This window comes from Homo sapiens, chromosome 3 (assembly GCF_000001405.40).
Source record: "Homo sapiens chromosome 3, GRCh38.p14 Primary Assembly".
In the NCBI taxonomy this organism is placed as follows: domain Eukaryota; kingdom Metazoa; phylum Chordata; class Mammalia; order Primates; family Hominidae; genus Homo; species Homo sapiens.
Window position 1 is genome coordinate 118,544,676 of NC_000003.12, and position 23,014 is coordinate 118,567,689.

The 23,014-nt window shown below is 37.0% G+C and overlaps 1 long non-coding RNA gene across 1 annotated transcript in view; it reads right to left on the reverse strand.

The window, feature by feature from the left end:
* LOC105374060 (uncharacterized) overlaps positions 1-23,014 on the reverse strand; it is a 302,423-nt gene that overhangs the window by 36,265 nt on the left and 243,144 nt on the right. Inside the window, exon 3 of the long non-coding RNA NR_135547.1 lies at positions 6,145-6,249. This is a non-coding gene — a long non-coding RNA (uncharacterized LOC105374060). The remainder of the gene's footprint in view (positions 1-6,144; positions 6,250-23,014) is intronic.

Consider the following 23,014-nt stretch of genomic DNA (forward strand, 5'->3'; position numbering starts at 1 on the left):
GACCCCTGGGCCAGGCAGACATTCAGCTCCATAACAAAAGGCACCATCTTTTCCTGTGGATACTCAAGGTCAGAGGCGGTGAGAACCACATGCTGTTTATGGGTCTCAACTTGTCTTTGTTCTCTCTACTTTATACCCATATTCTCTTCCCCACTGAATGTCCCATGGACTCCAATCTCCGCAGGAGATGCAAAGACAACAGCCTTACAGCCCGAGCTGCAAGTGAGGTAGATGTCTCCTCCCATGCACAAAAAGTGAAGGGCAGAGGCATACGGAGTGGTTCCTTTGCCCCCACCACAGGCCTCTGCCCCCATTTATTCCCCAATTTCTCCTCCACATTATTGCATGCTCATGGAAACTCAGCTCAAATCCAAGCTCCAGGAAGCCTTCCAGATGAACCCTATTCCAATTCTGTTCTGTCTTTTCTAATTCTGAAAGGCATGCTGCCCTCCTTTGCATTCTGTCTGGTAATTATTCTCAAGCTGTTTCACATATCTTTGTTTGTCTCCATATCTAGATTATGAGCAACTTTTGGCTATATTATATTCATTACACTTTGTAATGAACAACCTTCTCTTCCCAGGCTTCACATTCTTACTGGACTTTTGCCTTCACTTCCAGTGTTTCATATCAAAGCCGATGACTTTCAAACATCTATCTTCTATACTAATCTATTCCCTGAATTTCAAGCCACAAATCCAATTGCCTGCCATCATCTACATATAGATGTCCCTCAGGAACCTCATTTTTATGAACATCCAAAACTATGCTTGTCAGTAGCCAATCTCAGTGTTCTTGTGTTTCCAACTCAGGAGAACTGCACATGCATCCATCCAGCTGGCCAAATCCAAGCTATGACCTGAGTGTTATCCTGGAGGCCTCACTCTTCTTTTTTCCCTAAACCCAATCCTATTACTAAATCATCTTGATTCTTCCTCCTTGGGTCTATTCACCTTTTTCCTTATATCACATACAATATGCATAGTGACTAAAACCATGGACTGAAGAAAAAGGCTCAGGTAGACTTAAATTCCAGTTTTACTGGTTACTGCTTAGTAAGCCTCAATTTCTTTACCTGTAAAACGGGAAAATAATAGTACCTATCTCAAATGATTGTTGTGTCTATAAATACAGACGATTCTCATGAAGCCATACATAGCCCCTGTCACATGGCAAATAATCAATAAATATTAGCTATTATGATTCTTTCTGCTATTACTCTAAGCCAGATCACTCTCTCTTTCCTCGATTACATAACAGCTTCCTAATTGGTCTCCTTGCTCTGAAACTTCCTCTTCTCTCTGAATTATAAATGTAGAATCTAATAAAATGTCATAAGCATTCTCTGAAATACCATTAATTGTTCCTCCAAATACCACATATATTTTAGAATGGTATTTTAAGTATATGAATGTTTTAGATGGGATAAACCTGATTAACAATTTCAAGAACTAGTGAATTTAACATGAGGCCAAAATTCTACCTTTTGGAATTTGAAGTTTGAGAGGCACCAATTCACACAGACTTTCAGGAATAACCTTGAGGATCCTCGTAATTCCATAAGGTATGTAAGCAGTACTGCTACTAAGTTATAAAACAGGTCCATTTTCCTGAGGCAGCCTATGGATGTCTGTGACTTTTCTACTTTTCTCTATCACCCAGACTGGAATGTCCTAGGATTGCATCAAGGAGATTCACCATATTCTTGTGAAGAGATATGCCTTCCCATAGCAATAAATGACTGTGACTGAGACAGACAAACTTAACAGCTGCACAGCAGATGGCTCTCCGTTGTGTTTTAGGTGACTGCTTGTATCGAATATTATAAAATTGGATGAAATTCTGCCAATTTCCTCTCACAATTATAGAAGTGTGGAGTGAGGAAGTAAAAAGATTTAGTATTCATTAGAGTGAACAACCTTAATAAAATCTTCACTTTCCATTAAAAAAAAAAAAGCTACATGTTTTCTTATAGCACCAGAACACTTTATTTGTACCTCTAATGAGGTCTGCCCTGAATTAAAATGATTTATATATGTTGCTTACCTTCCCCACTAGACTGTGAGAAACTTGAAGACAATTGTATGTCGGATCCATCTTTGGTATTCCAGCACCTAGCAAACTTTTTTGCCTACAGTGTGTGCTCAGTGAATACTGAATTAATGAACAACCAGATGAATAAATATGCCATTAAAATTTTCATAATTAAATCATACTTTATAATGAAGTGGAGCAAGTCACTATTTAAAGGTACTCTGTGGAAAATTGTTATATGTAATGCCAAATCTCCTCATTGTTTATCATGTATTTCATATATTAAGTTTACTTAATATAATACAATAAAAAATGCACAGCTTGAGCATCTGTTACCTTTCATTGATTGCTGAGGTACTGAAATACAAAGAAGAATGAGACATGGTCCCTCTGGTAAATTTTATTTTCTGCTCTTTCATTTTTTTGATTTTTGTGACAGAATCTTGGTCTGTCACCCAGGCTGGAATGCAGTGGTATGATCATGGTTCACTGCAGCTTCCAACCCCTGGGCTCAAGCAATCCTTCTGCCTCAGTCTCCTGAGCAGCTAGGACTACAAGTGCACACCATCAAGCCTGTCTCTTCTTTTTCTTTCTGTAGAGATGAGGTCTTGTCATGTTGCCCAGGCTGGTCTTGAACTCTTGGTCTCAAGCAGTCCTCCCACCTTGCCCTCCCAAAGTGCTGGGCTTACAGGTATGAGCCACTGCACCCGGCCTGCCTTTTATAACATGGTTTATTGACACTCTTTCCATGGAGTGGCAGTGTCAATGTGCCCACCCCCCACACACGTGCACATATGAGCAAGAGTTTGCGGCTACTCTATAAAACATGCTATGTGACTTCTGAGGCTAAATTACATAAGGAATTCAGCTTCTGTCTGGCTCTCTCAATCAGGACATTCCCGCACTTGGAAGCCAGCTGCCATGCTGTGAGAAAGCCTGTTCACATGGACAGTGGAGAGGCCACATTAGAGAGGTCCATATGAAGAGGAGCTGAAGCTCTCTTCATGGATATGGATATCCATGAATGGATAGATGCAACCACCAGATAGCTAAGTGAATAAGCCTTTATATCAGGGCTTCTCTACCTTGGCCTGATTGACATTCTGGGAGGGACAATTCTTTGGGTGGGGGAGAGGGTGTGTGGTGATGGAGTGGGGTGGTCACTGTGCATTATAAGATGTTTAGCAGTATCCCTGGCCTTTACTTACCAGATGTCAGTAGCACCCTTCCCCCAAATTGTGACAACCAAAAGTTATTCCAGACATTGCCAAATATTCCCTGGAGATGAGACAAAAATCATACCCACTTGAGATCCACTCTAGCTTTAGATGATTCCAGCACAAATCCTTGAGCTACCACAGCGAAGCTGGAGTGGGCAATAAGCAAGCTATCCCTACTAAGCCCTACTCAAGCTGAAGAATTTCAAGCTGAATAGATATCGTTGTTTTTATAAGTCATTAAGATGGTTTGTTGCAAAACATTACATAATAAGATGTGTTCCTGACTTCAAGAGATGGTTTTTCCCTTTCATGGTAGAAAGGAACCGTATAACCAAATAATCACCATTCTACATCAGACCCTTATAAAATCTACCATGAAGTTTTACTTGTGAGGTACACCTTGAATATATGTATGTGTGTAAAATTATGTATACATACATAGAGGGACAGCACTCTGATACTGTGCTTCCTGATATTGTACATACATAGAGGGACAGCACTCTGATATTGAAGCCCGGGTCTGTGGTCATACTGAGCCATTAGAGTGTCTACGTTAACCTAATTTTAGTATATGTAATTATATTGTCTTCCTAATTTGCTCATGCACTTTCAACTGGAAGTGGTCAACACCGGATTCTTAAATAACTCCACATCATTAAGGTCGCCTACAGTAACACATAGCTTGTTTTCCTGTAAGCTACATTAGATGACTCAGTCCCCCAGTATTTGGAACAATTGTGAGATAATGTTCTGAATAGAGCTGTGGCAGGGTCATGTTTGGTCTGCTTGGCACTTATAATTTATCTTCATATATCAAGGAAAAAGTCTAGATACAAAAATGTGGATATGCAGTAGCTCACATAGAATATATATGCTAAATTCTGAAATTTAGATTTTTTTAAGAATTTAAAATTATGATAAGACATGCTGTGTACCTAGAATTTATTTTATTACATAATTACAATGAATAATTAAATCTCATCAAGGACGGAAGGCTACATCTCATTTATAATAATGGATATGACAATTATGCATACTCTTGGGCCCGCGCAGTATATGCTGTGCAGTTAATTCTAACAGCAGTCCATCAACTGCAGCTCAAAGAGGTTAAATGGCTTGTCCACAGAGCTGGTGTGATTTTAAGCCTTATCTCTCTGACTCCTAAACTTGTCTTTCCACAGCACCTGCTCCCTTTATCTTTGTATGCTCACTATTCAACACAGTACACAGTATATAAGCATATAGCCAAATGAGTTTATAGTTATTGATTACAAATAGCTTTGAATCACGAAATCACAACTGTTAATCACAAATGAACAGCTCTGGATGGAAAGGAAACAATATGGTTCATTAGGTTGATCACTATGATGGTCAATCCATGTTTGCTGATTGCCACACAATAGATGAGTTACCAAATAAGCAATTATTCTAGGTGCTAAGCCAACTGAACTAGCTTAAGTCTGTGCTGTATGACTGATTGCCTAGCAATCAGCGATTGAATGACAAAACCCATCTCCTATGTAGATGCAGCCTTGAAATGGCCTGCTGTACCAAGTCATTATTTTCCTTTTTATGAAGGCAATGTTGTTTCAGGAAGGGGAAATAGAAGTCAGCATAAGCTCTTTCTCATAAGGAAAGTGATAAACTAGTTGAGAGAGGCAGGCTGAATCTGATGAATCTATGCGTAGAATATGCTGATGTATAAGGCTGATTTAAAAACAATCCCACTTGAATAGTGGATTGTTATTAACACAGGATGATACCCACAAAAGGTAAATGAATGACTGAATAACTGATATATAAATACATAATGAAAATGGCACCCTAAACTAGTCATAGGCATTGTCAACTGACGTCCAATAATATAATTGCCAAATGAACTTGTCAGGAAAATATGTACACATAGGTCAATTGCAAACAATAACTATTAGTATTTCAAACTGGTTAATGATAACTGGTTGTTTAAATTAAACTTTCTTTTTCCTCTGAACTGCTTTCTGCTTCACTTAAATTGTTATAAACTTTAGTTTCAGACTTAAGAACCATAGTATGGATGGATGGATGACAGAGAGAGAGAAATGCTAACCTGAAGAAGTGCCTGTACAGATGCCCTCTCAATTTTTCATACTCTTAGGCCCTTCCTGGTATTTTATGGCCCTGATTACATAGTTTGGAGCTACACAAACCAGAATCTTTTCACCCTAGCAGGAAGCAGTAGCTAGACCTCTTCTCTCTTCCTGAATAGAAAAAGGTGAAGAAAAGAGACAGGCTCAATAGTTCTCAACAGTAGGTGAAATAGCCCTCTTGGGGCTGTTTGGAAATATATGAGGGCCTTGGAGTTGCTACAATGGTAGGAAACACCAATGGCATTGAAAGAATGGTCGCCAGGGAAGGAAAACATTCCTGCAACATACGTCACAGTTTTCCAAAAGGAAGAATTTTCCTGCACAAAATGACAATAGCATTGAGAAATGTTAGCCAATTCCCTTTCAGAACATCACAAGCACTTGCTTAATATCATCAAGGAAAACTAAACTTCAGCCATTATTTCAAAGAATATGCCAAAATTTGGCTGAAAAACATTCTCTAATTGGAAGCAAAGAAGATTCTTTATGGCAAAAAAAAAAAAAAAAAGAAATGAAAAGTCCTTACTGTTATTCCAACAGTAACCTCTAAACTCTTCTCAACATTAGGAACAGCACCTCTGAGTCTCTGCAGGCTTCAGAAATTTCAAAAGAAACAAACACTAAGATTCTGTTTTATCCAAGAACCATCCCCTGCTCAGACAATAAACTTGGTTGAGCACACAGTAGATTAACAAAGCAATCCAGGTAAGTTGCAGGGTGCAAAGCTCACTTGAAGCTGCTGTAAAATGTCCCCTTCCTCCTACCTTCAGTCTTGGGGGAGACTGTGGTTCTTGCACATTTCTGGAAAACAATGAATGCTGTTCACTATGCAGGTGGGCTGAGGATTTTAGCAGATGGCAACAGGATGGCTATAAAAGAGAAAAGGGCTTTTGCAGATGGTATAGTTACTCCTTTCTGTTTTGTTTTTTTTTTTCTTTTGGGAGGGGAAAGTGAAGGAAATAGTTGCAAGACAATGCAATAATGCTGCAAATGTCCAAAATATTTATTCTCATACATTTTCTGAAATCACCACATTATTACCTTTCATCAACATATTGCAGAGGAGAAATAAAGCAGGAAGTGGAGAGAGGACAGGAAGAAAAATCCTTCAACATCTACAACTTTAAATTCCCCACCCTCTAGAGTTACCCGTTGTGGAATTGAAGCTTGTTAATGTAATACATTTCCCCATATTTTTCTTCTCCAAGTGAAATAAGCTAATTACTCTAACTTTTTCTCATAGGCCATTTTTTTTTCCAGCACTGTGCAATTATTTTTGGTGCTTGACTTCCAGCTATATACATTCTGCTCATCCTGTGATTCTGAGATACTACAAGTTGGTCACAACATTCTGAAAATGGCTTGCTAGGTAGCAGCTGCCTTCACTAGTGATCTCCTGTTAGATGACAACACCACATCTCTTGGCAGTCTTATCCAAAAAAAGGAGGTAGTTAATAAAAACACTCTGATGTAGGTAGCTTCTGACACAGCATAGGCACAGGTTTTTCACCATAATGAGCAGCCACGATCATTAATTGAGCCACAGATCTGTGAGTCTTCCAATCCTATTTCTTCAGCTCTTACTGACATTGAAAAGATGGCAAGTGGCAAGTTCTCTGCAAAGTATTGTCTCCCACAGGTCTGATCCTGGGAAGTCAATCCTCAATGATTGATATCTGCTGCTTTTTCCTATGCTGGCTTTGGGTGAGTGTCCTCAGAGCATTTCCTCTGTCTCTGTACTTTGATATTAGAAAGGGTAGTAAATGATACAGGCCTATGAGTGAAGTTGATGCCCTTTAATTATTATTCAGATGATTTGCTCACATTTTCATTTGTCTATCACAAATTTAGTAAATATATAAGAACCTACTGTGAGTCAATCTTGGGATGGTTACTAGTTACAAGGCAACTAGATCAAGTTGTGGCCATAAAGGAGCTCAGGTGGAAGAAGATAGATAAGGAAGTCAAGAATTACTACGATAAGTTGGTGAGGTTATAGATATTTTAATTAACTTGATTAAATTTTCCAAATTCTCTACATAGATCAAAACATCACATTATACCTTATAAATATATATAATTACCATTTGTCAGTTAAAAATAAATTTTAGAAAACGTGGTACAATGCAATATAATAAGTACATTATTTAAAAAATGTATAGGGTCTTGTGAGAACACCGTTTCAGCCTGAAGGGTTAGGATCAGAAAAGCTCACAGAGCAGGTAACAAACAGAGTCATGAAGAATAATTAGGAATGATCTCATCAGGGATCCAAAAATAGGAAGAGCAAACCATGGAGAAGATGGAGCCCCTAGAAAACCACAGGAATATAAGAGCACCAGGTAGGTAGGAAATCTGTGGATACAGGTGAAGTGTGACAAGCATAAAGCTGGAGAGAGAGAAAGGCTGAAAGTTAGGACTAAACTAGAAGCTAATTGAAAGCCAGCACAGAAACTACCACCCAAGTCCAATTTACTCAGTGGCCTTAGTTTAGAAAACTTGGATTCAGAATGGGGCACTATGGTGCAATGAAGCTAACTTTACGTTCCCCACAATCTAGCTGTGTGTCTCCCTGCATTATAGTGACACAGTGTGATGATGACTGCTATGTGGTAGACAAGGGCCTTAGTTTTCAATAAAATGTTTCATTTCCTCAATCAACTAGAGAACAAACCCAGGGATTTGGGTGGCTCCTTGTGGAAGACATTTGTTGCTTTGGCCACCCAGCGTCTATTTCCTGTCTTCTCTGGAACTATCACCTTCGACTTTTTTTGGAGAACTACCCTACACTCACTTTGAGTGCATGTGTGGTTCCATTCCTACTTCCAGAGGTGAAGCCTGTTACTCAGTTTAGTACATCAGCACATCACAGGGACTGGTCAGTGACTGGTTCTGAGACAGGCACATGGCCCAAGCTGGTCCAATCAGGATGAATCCTAGGGCTTATTCAGGAGCTGCCAGGAAGATTTGTTCTCTCAGGTCCACTGGACCCAAACACGGCAACATTGAAGGGTCAGAGTTACTGCCAGATACCTACCTACTTTGGGAAACTTGAAAATAAAGTCAACACAATAGAAAGACAAGCCAGGACCAGGTGTAATGGCTCACACCCTGTAATCCCAGCACTTTGGGAGGCCGAGATGGGCAAAACACTTGAGGTCAGGAGTTTGATACCAGCCTGGCCAACACAGTGAAACCCTGTCTCTACTAAAAATATAAAAATTAGCCGGGTGTGGTGGTGGATGCCTGTATTCCCAGCTACTTGGGAGACTGAGGCAGAAGAATCACTTGAATCCAGGAGGCAGAGGTTGCAGTGAGCCAAGATGGTGCCACTGCACTCCAGCCTGGGTGACAGAGCAAGACTCTATCTCAAAAAAAAAAAAAAAAAGCCAGGGATAAAGAAAAATGAAGCATCCTGGATTCCTGGATGAAGCCACAACTGAATCCCAGATTACCCTAGAAATGTATGTCAAGAAAATTCCCATTTTATTAAAGCAGCTTTGAGTTATATTTTCTGTTATTTGACACTAAAAAAATCTTTACTGATATAATGCTAAAATTCTTTTACAAAAATTGCCTCTTTAAAAACGTAGTGTCTTAAGGGATAGAATATACTAAATATTGAACAGGTGAAGTCTAATGGATCAGAATCCATAAAGCCTGCATTTTGGGTTAGATTTGTCAATTACTATAGTTTTGGGCAAAGTACTTCATCTTTTTTACCTCAACTTTTCTACATATAAAATACAGAATACAGATAATAATTCTAACCTCCTTTCTATATCACAGCCTTGCTTGAGATGAAAGTGAAATAAAATTATTTTTAAAAAGTCACCAAATCCAAAGTGCTAAATGAATGAAATGGCTACTAAAGTATTAACATTTTTTTTTTTTTTAGTCAGTGCTCAAAGACGTTGATTTTGCATTAGGAATCAGTTCTATTGTTCCCAGTAGTCTAAAACCGGTCTAAAGATGTTGATATCTAACCAGGACATGCTAAAAAGCAGAAGGTTCCTAAAGCTAAATGGAAGTCAGCATTACCCCAGGTCAGGAGCCAGCTAAGCTTTAAAACATGCTGTGTCCATGTTGACACATTTCATGTTAATTGGCATTATGTTGACACTCATTTGGGCCAAGAAAGAAAATGCTAGAAAGCTACATCTAGTATCTCCTTTACCGCAAAGAGGTCCCCAGAAAACCAGCGAATAAACAAAATAAAACCAATCTAATTAACTTTCCCTTCCAAATTGTTACCACACTTCACATGTCACGTGGCTGCTGTGGTGACCTGCATGGCATGAAAAATTTGTTTGGCCTACACTGAACTGACAAAGTTTTGTTTCAGTTCTCAATCCTCAATATATGCTATGTCATGAAGTACTACAAAAAGCCCATACTCATTTGTCCATTCTCTTTCTGAACAACCATCATACAATTGATCACCTAGTTTCATCAATTCTATTACTAGGAATCTCACAGATCCCCAACTGCTCAGCAGGTCATTCAGGCCACCTTACAGTCTTCCTACGCTCGGGCACTATCTCTAACCCCACCCTTTCATCCCTCTCCACCACCCCAGTTAAAAGGTCAACATCCTAGTTTTGGCAGAATTCCTGGACATGACAAGGAATAGTCACAGCTTCTGGGACTTCATTTACATTTTTATAACTCTGGGACTATGCTTATTTAGTTTCTTCTGACTGGAATACATTTTCTGCTAATCCACCCCATTGCCCTTCTCTGCCTAATAAGCCCTACTAAGTCTTTTTTTTAATAACAGAGACTTTAAAAAATGAAATTTTTATTGGGTTCTGACAGGTAACAATATGATTAAGTAAAACTGATTTTATAAGAAAAATCATATTACTATCCGAGCCTATCTTTTACATTTCCACCTCTGGTAGAACCAAGGGACAAAGAAATATTTATCTATTTTAAAAAGAAATCAGATCAAGATTAATGAATGACAAGGAGTAACTAATTGCACCTGCATGCTGAGAACACAAAAGGGATTGGTGGGGACTTCAGAGAACTGAAGATTCCATATCCTTTCTAAAGGGACAGAGATCTAGACTATTGTTGCTTTCAAGTAAGCAGGTTTAATGTGTTAACAGAGCTTTCCAATTTTTAGAGAAGTCATCTGTATTGCTCTGTGAAATCTCCTGAGAAGGTTGGATCAACATGTTGTTGGCTATATCCAGCCCAAGGGCACAAATTTGTAAATCTCAGCCTCATGACCTTGTTCAAATATTGGATCTTTGCAATGGCTTCTCTTACTCCCTTAGCCCAGTAGAGTGACCCTTCTACTCTCATTCATGTGCTCATTAAGAGATATTAATCTGCCACTATCTTGAAGTGTCAGTGACAAGGTGGACTTAATGTGGAGCACAGTCATATATTGGTGGGGCAAAGTGTGCACTGTAGCCCATGCTTCGGTGCCCTGTACCCCATATCCCTTGGTTGAACAATTCTTTTTCTAGTAACTTATATGCCTACACACTGTTTATAAGGATGTATTTTTTAAAAAAATTACCGCTTCATATAATAAACAAAATATTTTAATGTGCAGATCTCATCCAAATTCCTCTAGGAGACCCTACCCACTCCATGACACAGTTATAGAAAGAAAAAATGATGATGCTTTTACGAAACACTGTGATGATTTCTGCTTAAAATAGGTTGATATAGAATGCCCTCTCTTTGTTCTGGGCAAGATCATTTTGGTGATAGTTTTTAGTCAAGCAGCTCTAAGGCAAATACCTACCCACTCTTAACTAGAAAGGCCTGTAGCCAAATGAAGATGCTGCAGATTTGTTTTTAAGCCATCTCTTAAATAATATCACAGTGTTTTAACTGTGAAAAAGTATATTTCTGAGATGTTTATTTTAATATTTATTTATTTTGTGTTTTCTCTGGTGGAAGCCCCAGACTGGGGTGAAAAAATAACTGAAATGTAGAAAACCACCATAAGAAAGTTGATAAGATCCTACAATCTGGCAGTGGACCAAAGGATAAGATAGAGATGGCCAGAACCCAGTAAGAGGTTGTGGACACCAGGCTTGAAGAGCTGATGTATCTAATATCCAGTTTCAAGTTTCCTTTCTCTGTCATATATTTTACTTATATCACCCTCGCATCTTTATTAAGATTCTGTTAAATGACAGCCTTTCACTGACAGATAGGAGTGAGCTGCCACCGCATGAAGAAGCTGTGATGTGGAGACAACTGGGATGAAGCCAGACAGAGGGCTGGCATGAGCAGAGCACAGCCACACCCAGAATGGCATTTGTTATGGGTTGAAGTGTGTTGCCCCCAAAAAAGAAAGTTGAAATCTTAATCCATACTAACTATGAATGCAACCCTATTCCAAAATAGTGTCTTTGCAGATGAATAAGTTAGAATTAAGTCCTAATACAATTAGGACCTCATATTGAACCTTAATACAATGCGAGTCATGTTCCTATAAAAAAGGGAAATTTGGACCCAGTGACAGACATTCACCGAAGGAACACAATGTGAGGATACAGGGAGAATGACATGTACAAATCAATGAACACCTGAGACTGTCAGAAGCTACGTGAGAGGCATGGAAAAGATTCTCCCTCATAGCCCTCAGAAAAGGCCAATCTGCCCAACGTCTTGATTTTGGATTTGTGGCCTCCAGAACTGTAAGACAATAAATATGCCTTTTGCTTTAAGCCACACACAGTTCAGTACTTTGTTATGGCAGCCTCAGGAAACTGATATAGTATTCCTCCAGGGAACCTCAGAGAGAGATGAACACAGAATGGATTATTGCAGTCACACAGGAGGGACTCTCGTGTTACTATAATTTACCTATTAAAGGTAAGGGTGAAAAACTTAGGAACACTCAGATAGCAGACGACTCCATCCACATTGCTTTCAGAGTGGAGCACTCAAGCTCCCTCATTATATCACAGGAGTCCATTCTGGAAACCAGCTAGAATTAAACTCCTTCATAGCATAGAATACAATACAACACAACATAAATGCCTTGATTAGTTTCATCATCTCCTTAGTACCTTATTGGCACTTAACATTATGTAAATATCCTAAGAGTTACAGCTTCAAGGCCTTTCTATATTTAGGACTTACAAAAACACCAAGTTCCTCTGATTTCAAGAGTTACCAAAGGTACCTGCCCTCAAAGATCTCAGGAAAGGAAAATAATCTCTTAACAATCTTGGAAGAGTGTTGTTAAGAAAGGTAAGAGGTGGTTCAAGGTGCTTAGTGGTCTGGAGATAATATTGAGCACATTTTCCTGAAGCCCACTTTTTTCAGTTGACAATATATCATGAACTTTTGTTTGTGTCAGTAAATATTTCTCTACAACATGATTTTTACTATGTGCAAAGATTCCATCTTCAGAAAGACATTCCATAATTCATTTAACTAACCCTCTATTTCTGAGCCAAGTCAATGGAAAATCAAAATAGTGTGCTGAGCCCAGAGGCATGTATGCCTGAGGAACAAGCTCTATGATCGATCATCTGTTTCATATTCTTCTGTAAGTCTCTTACCTGGCACTTCCTTTATCTAAGAGAGTACCTTATGGAATTCCATTCTCCAGCATGTGGTTGTTTCTAGGACACTGAACAAACGAAAATATCTGTCACTCTATCAAGTTTCTAAACATATCATCCATTCATTCATTAAGCAAACATTTATTTTGTACTTAACATGTCAGACACTACTCTGGGCCTGGTGATATTGTAATGACAGATAAGGTCCCTGCCTTCCGGAACTTTAAAATCTAACTGGAACACACAAATAAGATAAATTCAAGTAGCTGTTACAAAGGAAGTAAAACAGGCAATGGGAAAGGGATTGATAGGGAGGCATATATTGTAGATGGAAAAAGAAGAAGTAGTATGTTAACTGTAACCTGAAAAAGAGTTTTCCATGTCAAGAGCCAGGAAAAAGGTATCACATGCAGTGGAAACAGGTAGAGTAAATGCATGACGTGGGAAAAAGTGTGATACGTCGAATCAACACAAGTTGATTAGATGATCTAGATAATTGTGACATAGTAGGTGACAGAGAGAAGAGTTCAAGAAGAAGGCAAGTGTTGGATCCAGGACCTCGCAGGGCATGGTAAGGCAGTAGGACAGCAAACTGTTAGTTCAGAAGATTTGAATCAGGGAGTGTTATATATCAGCTCTGTTTTAAGAAGGTTGCTCTGGCTTTGGGGTGAAGCATGCATTATAAAGAAGCATGAGAGGCAGCAGAGAGAGACAGACTAGTTAGCAGGATACTGCTATTGCCTTGTTGAGAGGGTTGTTGGTAGTTTAGACTGAATAGAAATAGATAAAATGGAACTGGTTAAAAATATATTTTGATGATAGTGTAGGCAGGCAGGACATACTGATGGAGGTAATATGGATGGGTGAGTTAAAAGAAGAAATCAAGGATGACATCTTATTATGAAAATTTTCAAACTTACAGAAAAGAGAGAATTGAATAATGAATACTTATATACTCATCATGTTGACTATACAATTAAAATTTTACTATATATATTTTATCAAATAGCTATTCATTTATCCATCCCACTATCCATGCATCAATCCATGTTATCTTTTGATGCTCTTGGAGTGAAAGACCACGTTACCCCCATTTCCCCACTACAGTATGCATATTATTAACTACAATCAGTGATTTGTTTTGGTTCTTTGTTTTCTATAGGAAACTTTTCATAGAGTTAAATGCAAAAACAAAAACAAAAAACACTCAACTTAAAGAGTTTTGAGAAATGCATGCAAATATGTAACCCTAACTCAGGGTTTTAAAACCTCAACACTGTTCTGAACCTTAAATAATTCTTTGTTGTGAAGGGCTATCTTTGGGCAACGTAGAATGTTTAGCAGCATTCCTGGCCTCTAAATTGTCTCTACACTTTACCAAAAATAACCTGGGTGGAAGGAGGGGGTGGGCAAAATTGATAACCACTGCCCTAACTCTAACCAAGATATAAAACATTACCATCATCTAGAAAGTTTTCTCATGTGCTTTCCCAGCAAATCCCCACACCTCTCTCCCAAGGCTACCAATATTCTAAATTCTTTGCCACATAGATTAGTTTTGCATGTTCTAGAACTTTATATAAGTGTAGTCAAACTGTACATGCTCTTTTGTGGTAGGCATTTCTTACTAAATTTTACTACATTTTTGAGATTCACCCATGTCATGTATACGAGTGGTTCGAGTGATTTTTCCTTTTCTGTGTTAAGCAGTATTACATATGTGACTATACTTGGGTTTGTTTAGCCATTTGGTTGTTGATGGATTAATTTAGCTGTTTCCACTTTTACCTATTATGAATAAACTTGATATGAACGTTCTCATATAATTGTTTCCTGGACATGTTTTTATTTCTCTTTGGTAGAAGCAGAATTCCTGAGTCATGGGATAGGTATCTGTTGTTAGAAAATTGCCAGACACTTACAAGGTAATAACACCATGTTACCTTTCAATCAACAATGTATGAGATTTCCAGTTGTTTTATATCCTTGTCAACACTTGGTGTTGTCAATAATTTTAATTTTAGCCATTCTGGTAGGTGTTTGGCATATCTCATTGTGATTTTAATTTGCATTTCCCTGATGATTCTAATGTTGAGTGTTTTTTCATGTATTTATTGGTCATCTATATAATTTTCTTTGCAAAGTATCCATTTAACTACCTATTTTAACATGGGGTTGTAGTTTTATTATTGAATAACCTGATTTCTTTATATATACTGAATATCAGTCCTTTGTCAGATGTATGTTTTGTGAATATTTTATGCAGATCTATGGTTTGCCTATTAATTTTACTAATAGTGTCTTTTGATGAGCAGAAACATTTAATTTTGATAATACCAAATTGCCATGATCTCTTTTATGGTTACAATTTTCTGTGTCCTTTCTAGGAAACTTTTGCCTAGTCTCAAAGTCCTAAGGACATTCTATTGTGCTGTCTCCTAGAATCTTCATTCTTTTAGCCTTTATGTTTAGGTCTAAGATTTATCTCAAGTTATTGTTGTGAGGTGCAGATCAAGGTTTATTTTATTTTCTGTATAGATATCCAGTTTTTATAGCACATTTTGTTGAAAATATTTTCTTTTCCCTACTATATGGCATTGGTGACTGTAGAAAATCAAACACAATTATATCAGTATGAGTCTAATTCTGGACTTCTTAATCTCTTCCATTGACCTACTCTTGCTAGTACCATGCTTTCTTGATTACTGTATCTCAATAGCAAATCTTAAAGCCTGGTTAGGTCCCCAAAATTTGTTCTTCTTCAAGATCGTTTTTGATATTCTAGCTCTTGTGCATTTCCATAAGAATGTTAGATCAGCCTATTAATATCTTTTTAAAAATCCTGGTAGCATTGTTATTGAGATAGCATTGAATCTATAAATTATTTGGAGGAGAATTAGCATATTAGCAGTGGTATATATTCTAATAAATATACATGGTATATCTCTCAATCCATTTCTCTAATTTTTCTTTCAATTTTTGATGTAGAAATCCTACATGGTTTTGTTAAACTTATTCCTATGTTATGCTTTTTTGCTTTATTAAAATTTGAATTTATTTTTCATTTTTCTTTTTTATGCAGTTAAATATGAGAAGTGCAATTGATTCTTATATATTGAGCTTGTATCTTGAGACATTGCTAAATTCACATATTAGCTCTACCTGTTTCTTTTGAAGGTCTATTATACTTTTCTACCTTGACAATCATGTCATCTGAATAAAGACATATTTACTTCATTTTTATATATATGTATTTTATTTCCTTGTCTTTTGTTATGGCACTGGCTAAGAGTTCTGATAAAATGTTGATAGAAGTAGTGAAAGTGGACGTCCTTGCCTTGCTTGCGGTTTTGGGAGAAAGCATTCAGTATTTCACCATTAGGAATGATGTTAACTACTGGTTACTTGTTCTTCACAGATGACTTTGTGTTTTTTTTAGACAGAGTCTCACTCTGTCACCAGGCTGGAGTGCAGTGGTGCTGTCTCAGTTCACTTCAATCTCTGCCTCCCGGGTTCAAGCAATTCCCCTGCCTCAGCCTGCTGAGTAGCTGAGACTACAGGCATGCACCACCACACCTGGGGAATTTTTTGTATTTTAGTAGAGACAGGGTTTCACCACATTGGCCAAGACGGTCTCGATCTCCTGGCCTCGTGATCCACCTCTCAAAGTGCTGGGATTACAGGCGTGAGCCACTGCACCTGGGCTGTAGGTGACTTTTATCAGAACAAGGAAAACCCTTCTATTCCAAGAGTGCTAAGAGCTTTCATCAATAAATGGATGTGAATTTTGTAAAATAACTTTTTCGGTCAAGATGATCATATGTCTTTTCTCCTTCATTCTATTAGTATGATGAATCACATTAAATTTTTAATATTAAACCAAACTTACATTCTAGAGGTAAGCTCTATTTGGTGTTATCCATTTCATGTGCTGTTGTATTTTATTTCCTAATATTTTGTTAAGAATGTTTTCTTCTATGTTCATGAGGTCCATTTGACTGTAATTTAATATTTTTTGTAATATCTTTGTCAGATTTTCAAATCAGTGCTTTTCATAGCTTCTTTTTGAAATTTTGGCAACTGGTTGAATTACACTTTAACATATAGAGATCAGTTAAGGCAAAAAGAAAACAAGAAAAAAAATGAGAAATGACATTCTGTAAGGGGAGAAGGAAAATCAGTTTGTTGATTCAAGGAATCCAAAAGACAACAGTCTTTCATATTGAATACTGCTGACAGTTCAGTAAAATGTGAAGAGAGAAGTGACAATGAATTTGGCAATGTGGAGGTAATTGGTGACACTAATATGAAACTTGGGGATAGAGATGGGGTAGAATGAAGATAAATTAGAGTAGATTGAAGAGAGAACCGGAAATGAGGAAAATAAGAGGGCTAGTACAGCCAATTTGCTGTACCATTTCTTTTCTGTCAAGAGTAACAGATAAATAGGGCAGTAGTTGGAGAAGATGAGAAGTCAAGAAACAATGAAAAAAGAATATTTGTTTGGTTTCCAAGGCAGGTAAATAGGACAAAAGAGAATAGAGGAGAAATTAACCTAAAATATTTGTGATAGTGGAGAGAGCTTTTGAATAGGGATCAGACCACGCTTCTGTTTCCAGCTTTAAAAATAACTAACTACATGAACTGGGGCAGGTCATTTCCAGTTCCCTGAGCTTTGGTTTTCTTATGTGTAAATTGATGTCTTTCAGACTAGATATTTTAAAAGGTAGTATAAATGGTCCTCAACTTCTGTGACTTCTCTGACAAGTCTCATAATGAAACCAGTCTTTAATGTGTCATTCTTGTGTCTTAAAATTATGGTAATTTTGTTTTATTGACTGTGCCTGTTACTTGAGTAGCTTACTTGCATCATGTAAGTAGTATTAAAATGGAAGGCCAAGTGTACTTGATTACTCTACACAAGCAGCTATATTGAGATTGAGAATTTCAGTTATGTGAAAACAAGTTATAAAGAAGAGAAATCAAGCCAGCATGAGAAAGTTCCAGGAAGAGAGAGTGAATAGAGAGCAAGGGGAATATCCTAAACAGAGGAAATGCAGTCACAGATGCTTTATTAGATACCCTATAGTCTCCACAACAAGTTAGAAGAGAGATACTAGGGGTTCTTGGAGGTTACTGACAATCATCCAATCACATCATGGTAGATGAAACACATTTGATCAACTATAATAAATAACTAGAGCACATCAAATTATTTTGTTTGTTAAGATAAATGTATTGGATTCACCATTTTACTAAATCCATGGATTGATGTTTAAGTAATTAAATTTTTTTCTTCTAAAAGCAGTGATTAATTGTGTTGATGATGTACTGTGAAGTCAACAGGATAAGTTAATTTGCAGAGGAAAAAAAATTAAATTGAGTTTCCTGCAAAGAATATTTATATTTAAATGGATTCTGAAATCAAGCCTCACCATGGATGGGTTGAGTTTCTAAAAATTACTAGACACTGGGCAGAAAAAAAGAAATAAAGAAAGAAAGAGAAAATGATACTTGCATTTAAGTAGCCATTAGTTGAACTGAAGATATTGAATAACATAACTTCATGTCTGGTTTGGGAAAGACTAGAAAATTACTAATTATGCAGAAGAAATGGAATATTACAGAGCAAGGGTAGTCAGAGAAGGCTCATAGAGGATGTGTTAAAAGTAGAATTGAGAATTTGGTTTCAATTGACAAAATCCAATATGAATATATTGTGCATAAACTAGAATTTGTAGAAGACATAAGCAATCAAAAGGAGAATGGAGATGACAAAATTGACAGGTACACAAATACTTTTAGGACACTTTCCCTTCTTGTTGTCATCTCTATTTCCCTTGATTTCTCAGCTTCAAGTCTTTCAATTTGTCTTCAGTGGAAGATCAGAGGAGTCATTGACATAAATCTTTTCAGCAGGTAGAGTAGGGTGGAACATAGGTAGACAAAGTAAATTGAAAATAGAAAATCACAAAAGGGTGCACCAGACCAACAAAAGTATGTGGAGAGGCAAGAAAGGAGAAGCATGTTATTTTTCCACATACCTCAAATTTCATTACATGGCAGAACCCCCTTTCTTCACCATCCAGCTATCTGAAGGAGAAACTGAATGATACAGAGAACCCACACTTAAAGAACAGAAAAAAAGAAGTCATTAAATACAACACAGAAACCACAGTTAGTGAGATAGAAAAAAAAATCAATTTTAATGTGTATTTACAGTAGCCAAGGTCAAAAGAAAGATCACCAAATATAGGTCCAGTTATGAGAAGCATCAAAAAAAATGCAGAAAAGTTCAGGGATAAAACAGTCTTTTATAGCAGATTGGAGGCAATTAAAGTCAAATTGAAAAGAGATTAAGAAATAAGTGAATTAAGAGAAAATGAAACTTCATCTTCCAGCAATGATGGAACAATTAGTACCTGACCAGCCCTACCATCATTAAACAGTGGTGTGCTGGTAATGTTTAACAATCAGTTCTCCAATTAAAAAAAAAAAGTCTTGATTTGTAACATTTGCCTTTTTTCATGATATACATATTCCCTGTTGGGTTGATTTCGACCTACCAATGATTTAAAAACTGTCTGGCAATATTCCTAAAATTTTTAAAGTTGCTTCTCACAAGCTGAAATGATCTGGCTCCAGCACATCATAAATTGCTACAAAACTAAGGAAAATACTAAAAGAAACTATATTTAGCCACTGGAAAAAAGGGAAGCTCACAAGGTGAGAACCATGTGTACCACCTACTACCTCACCCTGCTTTTCACCTGTGGACAATTTCCAAAACAGGTGGAGCTGGGGCTGGTGTGCAGTATATACAGCACTCTGCCTGAGCTGAGAAGTTACACATCAGTTTGGAGATGCAGAAGAGGATGGAACCTGAAGAGCACCATAGTCAATAGGAGGTACCTGTGCAGAAGGGAGATCCAGAACCTAACGTGGGCCTCCCCACCCATGAGACCTTGGCTAAGGGCTGAACTGCTATTATGCAAGAAAACACTACAGGAGTCTTACAAGAAAGTAATTACTATGGGGCTGAGAGCAGAACAGAGATCTTAGAAGTCAGGCAGAAGTGGGAGACTAGTATTAGAGTTCTAGACCAGCCAGATCTAGGCTGCCTTAGCATTCTGTTAAGACATTAGTACTCAGCAGACAGCTGACACTTCAGAAAGAACATACACTAGCCATTAGCCATAAGGAATGATGTCTTTCAAATGTTGAAAGAAAAAGATAAAAAACAATAGTCAGCCCAGAATTCTGTATCCAGCCAGCAAATATTTCCTTTCAAGATGAGAATAAAATGAAGACATTTTCTTTTAAACAAAACTCTGAGATAATCTGTTGCCCACAGACTAGCATTCAAGAAATGCTAAAGAATAGTCTACAGATTAAATGGAAGTGATACTAGATGGGAACCCATATTTGCAGAAAATGAAGAAATGAAAATAAGTATGTGAGTAACTGTGAGAAATTTTTCTTTTCTTAATTTTTTTAAACAACTTACAGATTAAAGCAAAAGCAACAATTTTGTAAGGTGTAGCTCTAGCATACATACAACTAAAATATTAGGGCAATGGGTGTATATTCATTCTAACAACTTCTATTTAATATCCTTCTAGGGGCTGAGGCAGTAACATGCAAGAAAAAAATTAAAAGGAGTAAATATTGGAAGAAAAAGGAGTAAATCTGTTTTTATTTGTAGACAGCATGACTTATTTACATGGGAAATCATAAGGACTCTATACGTGAAAATACCTAGACTCAATAAAATTTGCATGGTCACAGGAAACGAGGTCAATGAATAAAAATTAATTGCATTTCTACATACTAGAAAAAACAACTGGAAACTAAAATTTTCAAAAGACAATATGTGTAATAGCATCATAAAATATGAAATCCTTTTTTTTCCATAAGTTGTTGGGGTACAAGTGGTATTTGGTTACATGAGTAATTTCTTTAGTGGTGATTTGTGAGATTTTGGTGGACCCATCACCCGAGTTGCATACACTACACCACATTTGTAGTCTTTTATCCCTCACCCCTCTCCCACTCTTCCGCTCACGTCCCCAAAGTCTAGTCCATCATTCTAATGCCTTTGTGTCCTCATAGCTTAGCTCCCACATATCAGTGGGAATGTACAATGTTTGGTTTTCCATTCCTGAGTTACTTCACTTAGAATAATAGTCTCCAACCTCAACCAGGTCACTGCAAATGCTGTTAATTCATTCGTTTTTATGGCTGAGTAGTATTCCTTCATATATATGTATGTGTGTGTGTGTGTATATATATATATATGTGTGTGTGTGTGTATATATATGTGTGTATATATATATGAAGGAATATATATATGAAGGAATATATATATGAAGGAATATATATATGAAGGAATATATATATGAAGGAATATATATATATATGAAGGAATATATATATGAAGGAATGTATATACATATATATATATGAAGGAATATATATATATATCACAGTTTCTTTATCCACTCTATTGATGGGAATTTGGGTTGGTTCCACATTTTTGCAATTGTGAATTGTGCTGCTATAAACATGCATGTGCAAGTATCTTTTTTGAAAAATGATTTCTTTTCCTCGGGGGTAGATACCCTGTAGTGGGAATGTTGGATCAAATAGTAGTTCTACTTTTAGTTTTTTAAGGAATCTTCACACTGTTTTCCACAGTGGCTGTACTAGTTTACATTCCCACCAGCAGTGTAGAAGTGTTCCCTGTTCACAGCATCTATACCAGCATCTACTGTTTTATGATTTTTTTATTATGGCCATTCTTGCAGGAGTAAGGTAGTATCATATTGTGGTTTTGATTTGCATTTCCCTGATCATTAGTGGTGTTGAGCATTTTTTCATATGTTTCTTGGCCATTTGCATATCTTCTTTTGAGAATTGTCCTTAGCCCACTTTTTGATGGGATTGTTTGTTTTTTTCTTATTGATTTGAGTTCGTTGTAGATTCTGGATATTAGTCCTTTGTTAGATGTATAGATTGTGAAGACTGTCTCATACTCTGTGGGTTTTCTATTTACTCTTCTAACTGTTTCTTTTGCCATGTAAAAGCTCTTTAGTTTAATTAGGTCCCAGCTATTTATCTTTGTTTTTACTGCATTTGCTTTTGAGTTCTTGGTCATGAAATCCTTACCTAAGCCGATGCTTAGAAGGGTTTTTCTGATGTATAAATTCTTTTAGAATTTTTATAGTTTCAGGTCTTAGGTGCAAGTCCTTAATCCATCTTGAGTTGATTTTTGTATAAAGTGAGAGATGAGGATCCATTTTCATTCTCCTACATGTGGCTAGCCAATTATCCCAGCATTATTTGTTGAAAAGGGTGTTCTTTCCCCACTTTATATTTTTGTTTGCTTTGTCAAAGATCAGTTGGCTTTAAGTATTTGGATTTCTTTCTGGATTCTCTATTCTGTTCCATTGGTCTATGTGCGTATTTTTATACCCATACCATGCTGTTTTGGTGACTATGGCCTTTTAGTATAGTTTGAAATCAGGTAGTGTGATGCCTCCAGATTTGTTCTTTTTGCTTAGTCTTGCTTTGCCTATGTGGGCTCTTTTTTGGTTCCATATTAATTTTATGATTGTTTTTTCTAATTCTGTGAAGAATGATGGTGGTATTTTGATGAAGATTGTATTGAATTTGTAGATTGCTTTTGGCAGTATGGTCATTTTCACAATATTGATTCTACTCATCCATGAGCATGGGATGTGTTTCCATTTGTTTGTGTCATCTGTGATTTATTTTAGCATTGTTTTTGTAGTTTTCCTTGTAGAGGTCTTTTGACTCCCTGGTTAGGTATAATCTAAGTTAGTTTTTTTTTTTTTTTTGGTAGCTATGGTAAAAGGGGGTGAGTTCTTGATGTGATTCTCCGCTTGGTTGCTGTTGGTGTGTAGAAGAGCTACTGATTTGTGTTCGTCAGTCTTCTATCTGGAAACTTTGCTGAATTCTTTTATCAGTTCTAGGAGTTTTCTGGAGGAGTCTTTAGGGTTTTCAAGGTAAACGATCATATTGTCAGCCAACAGTAACAGTTTGAATTTCTCTTTAACAATTTGGATGC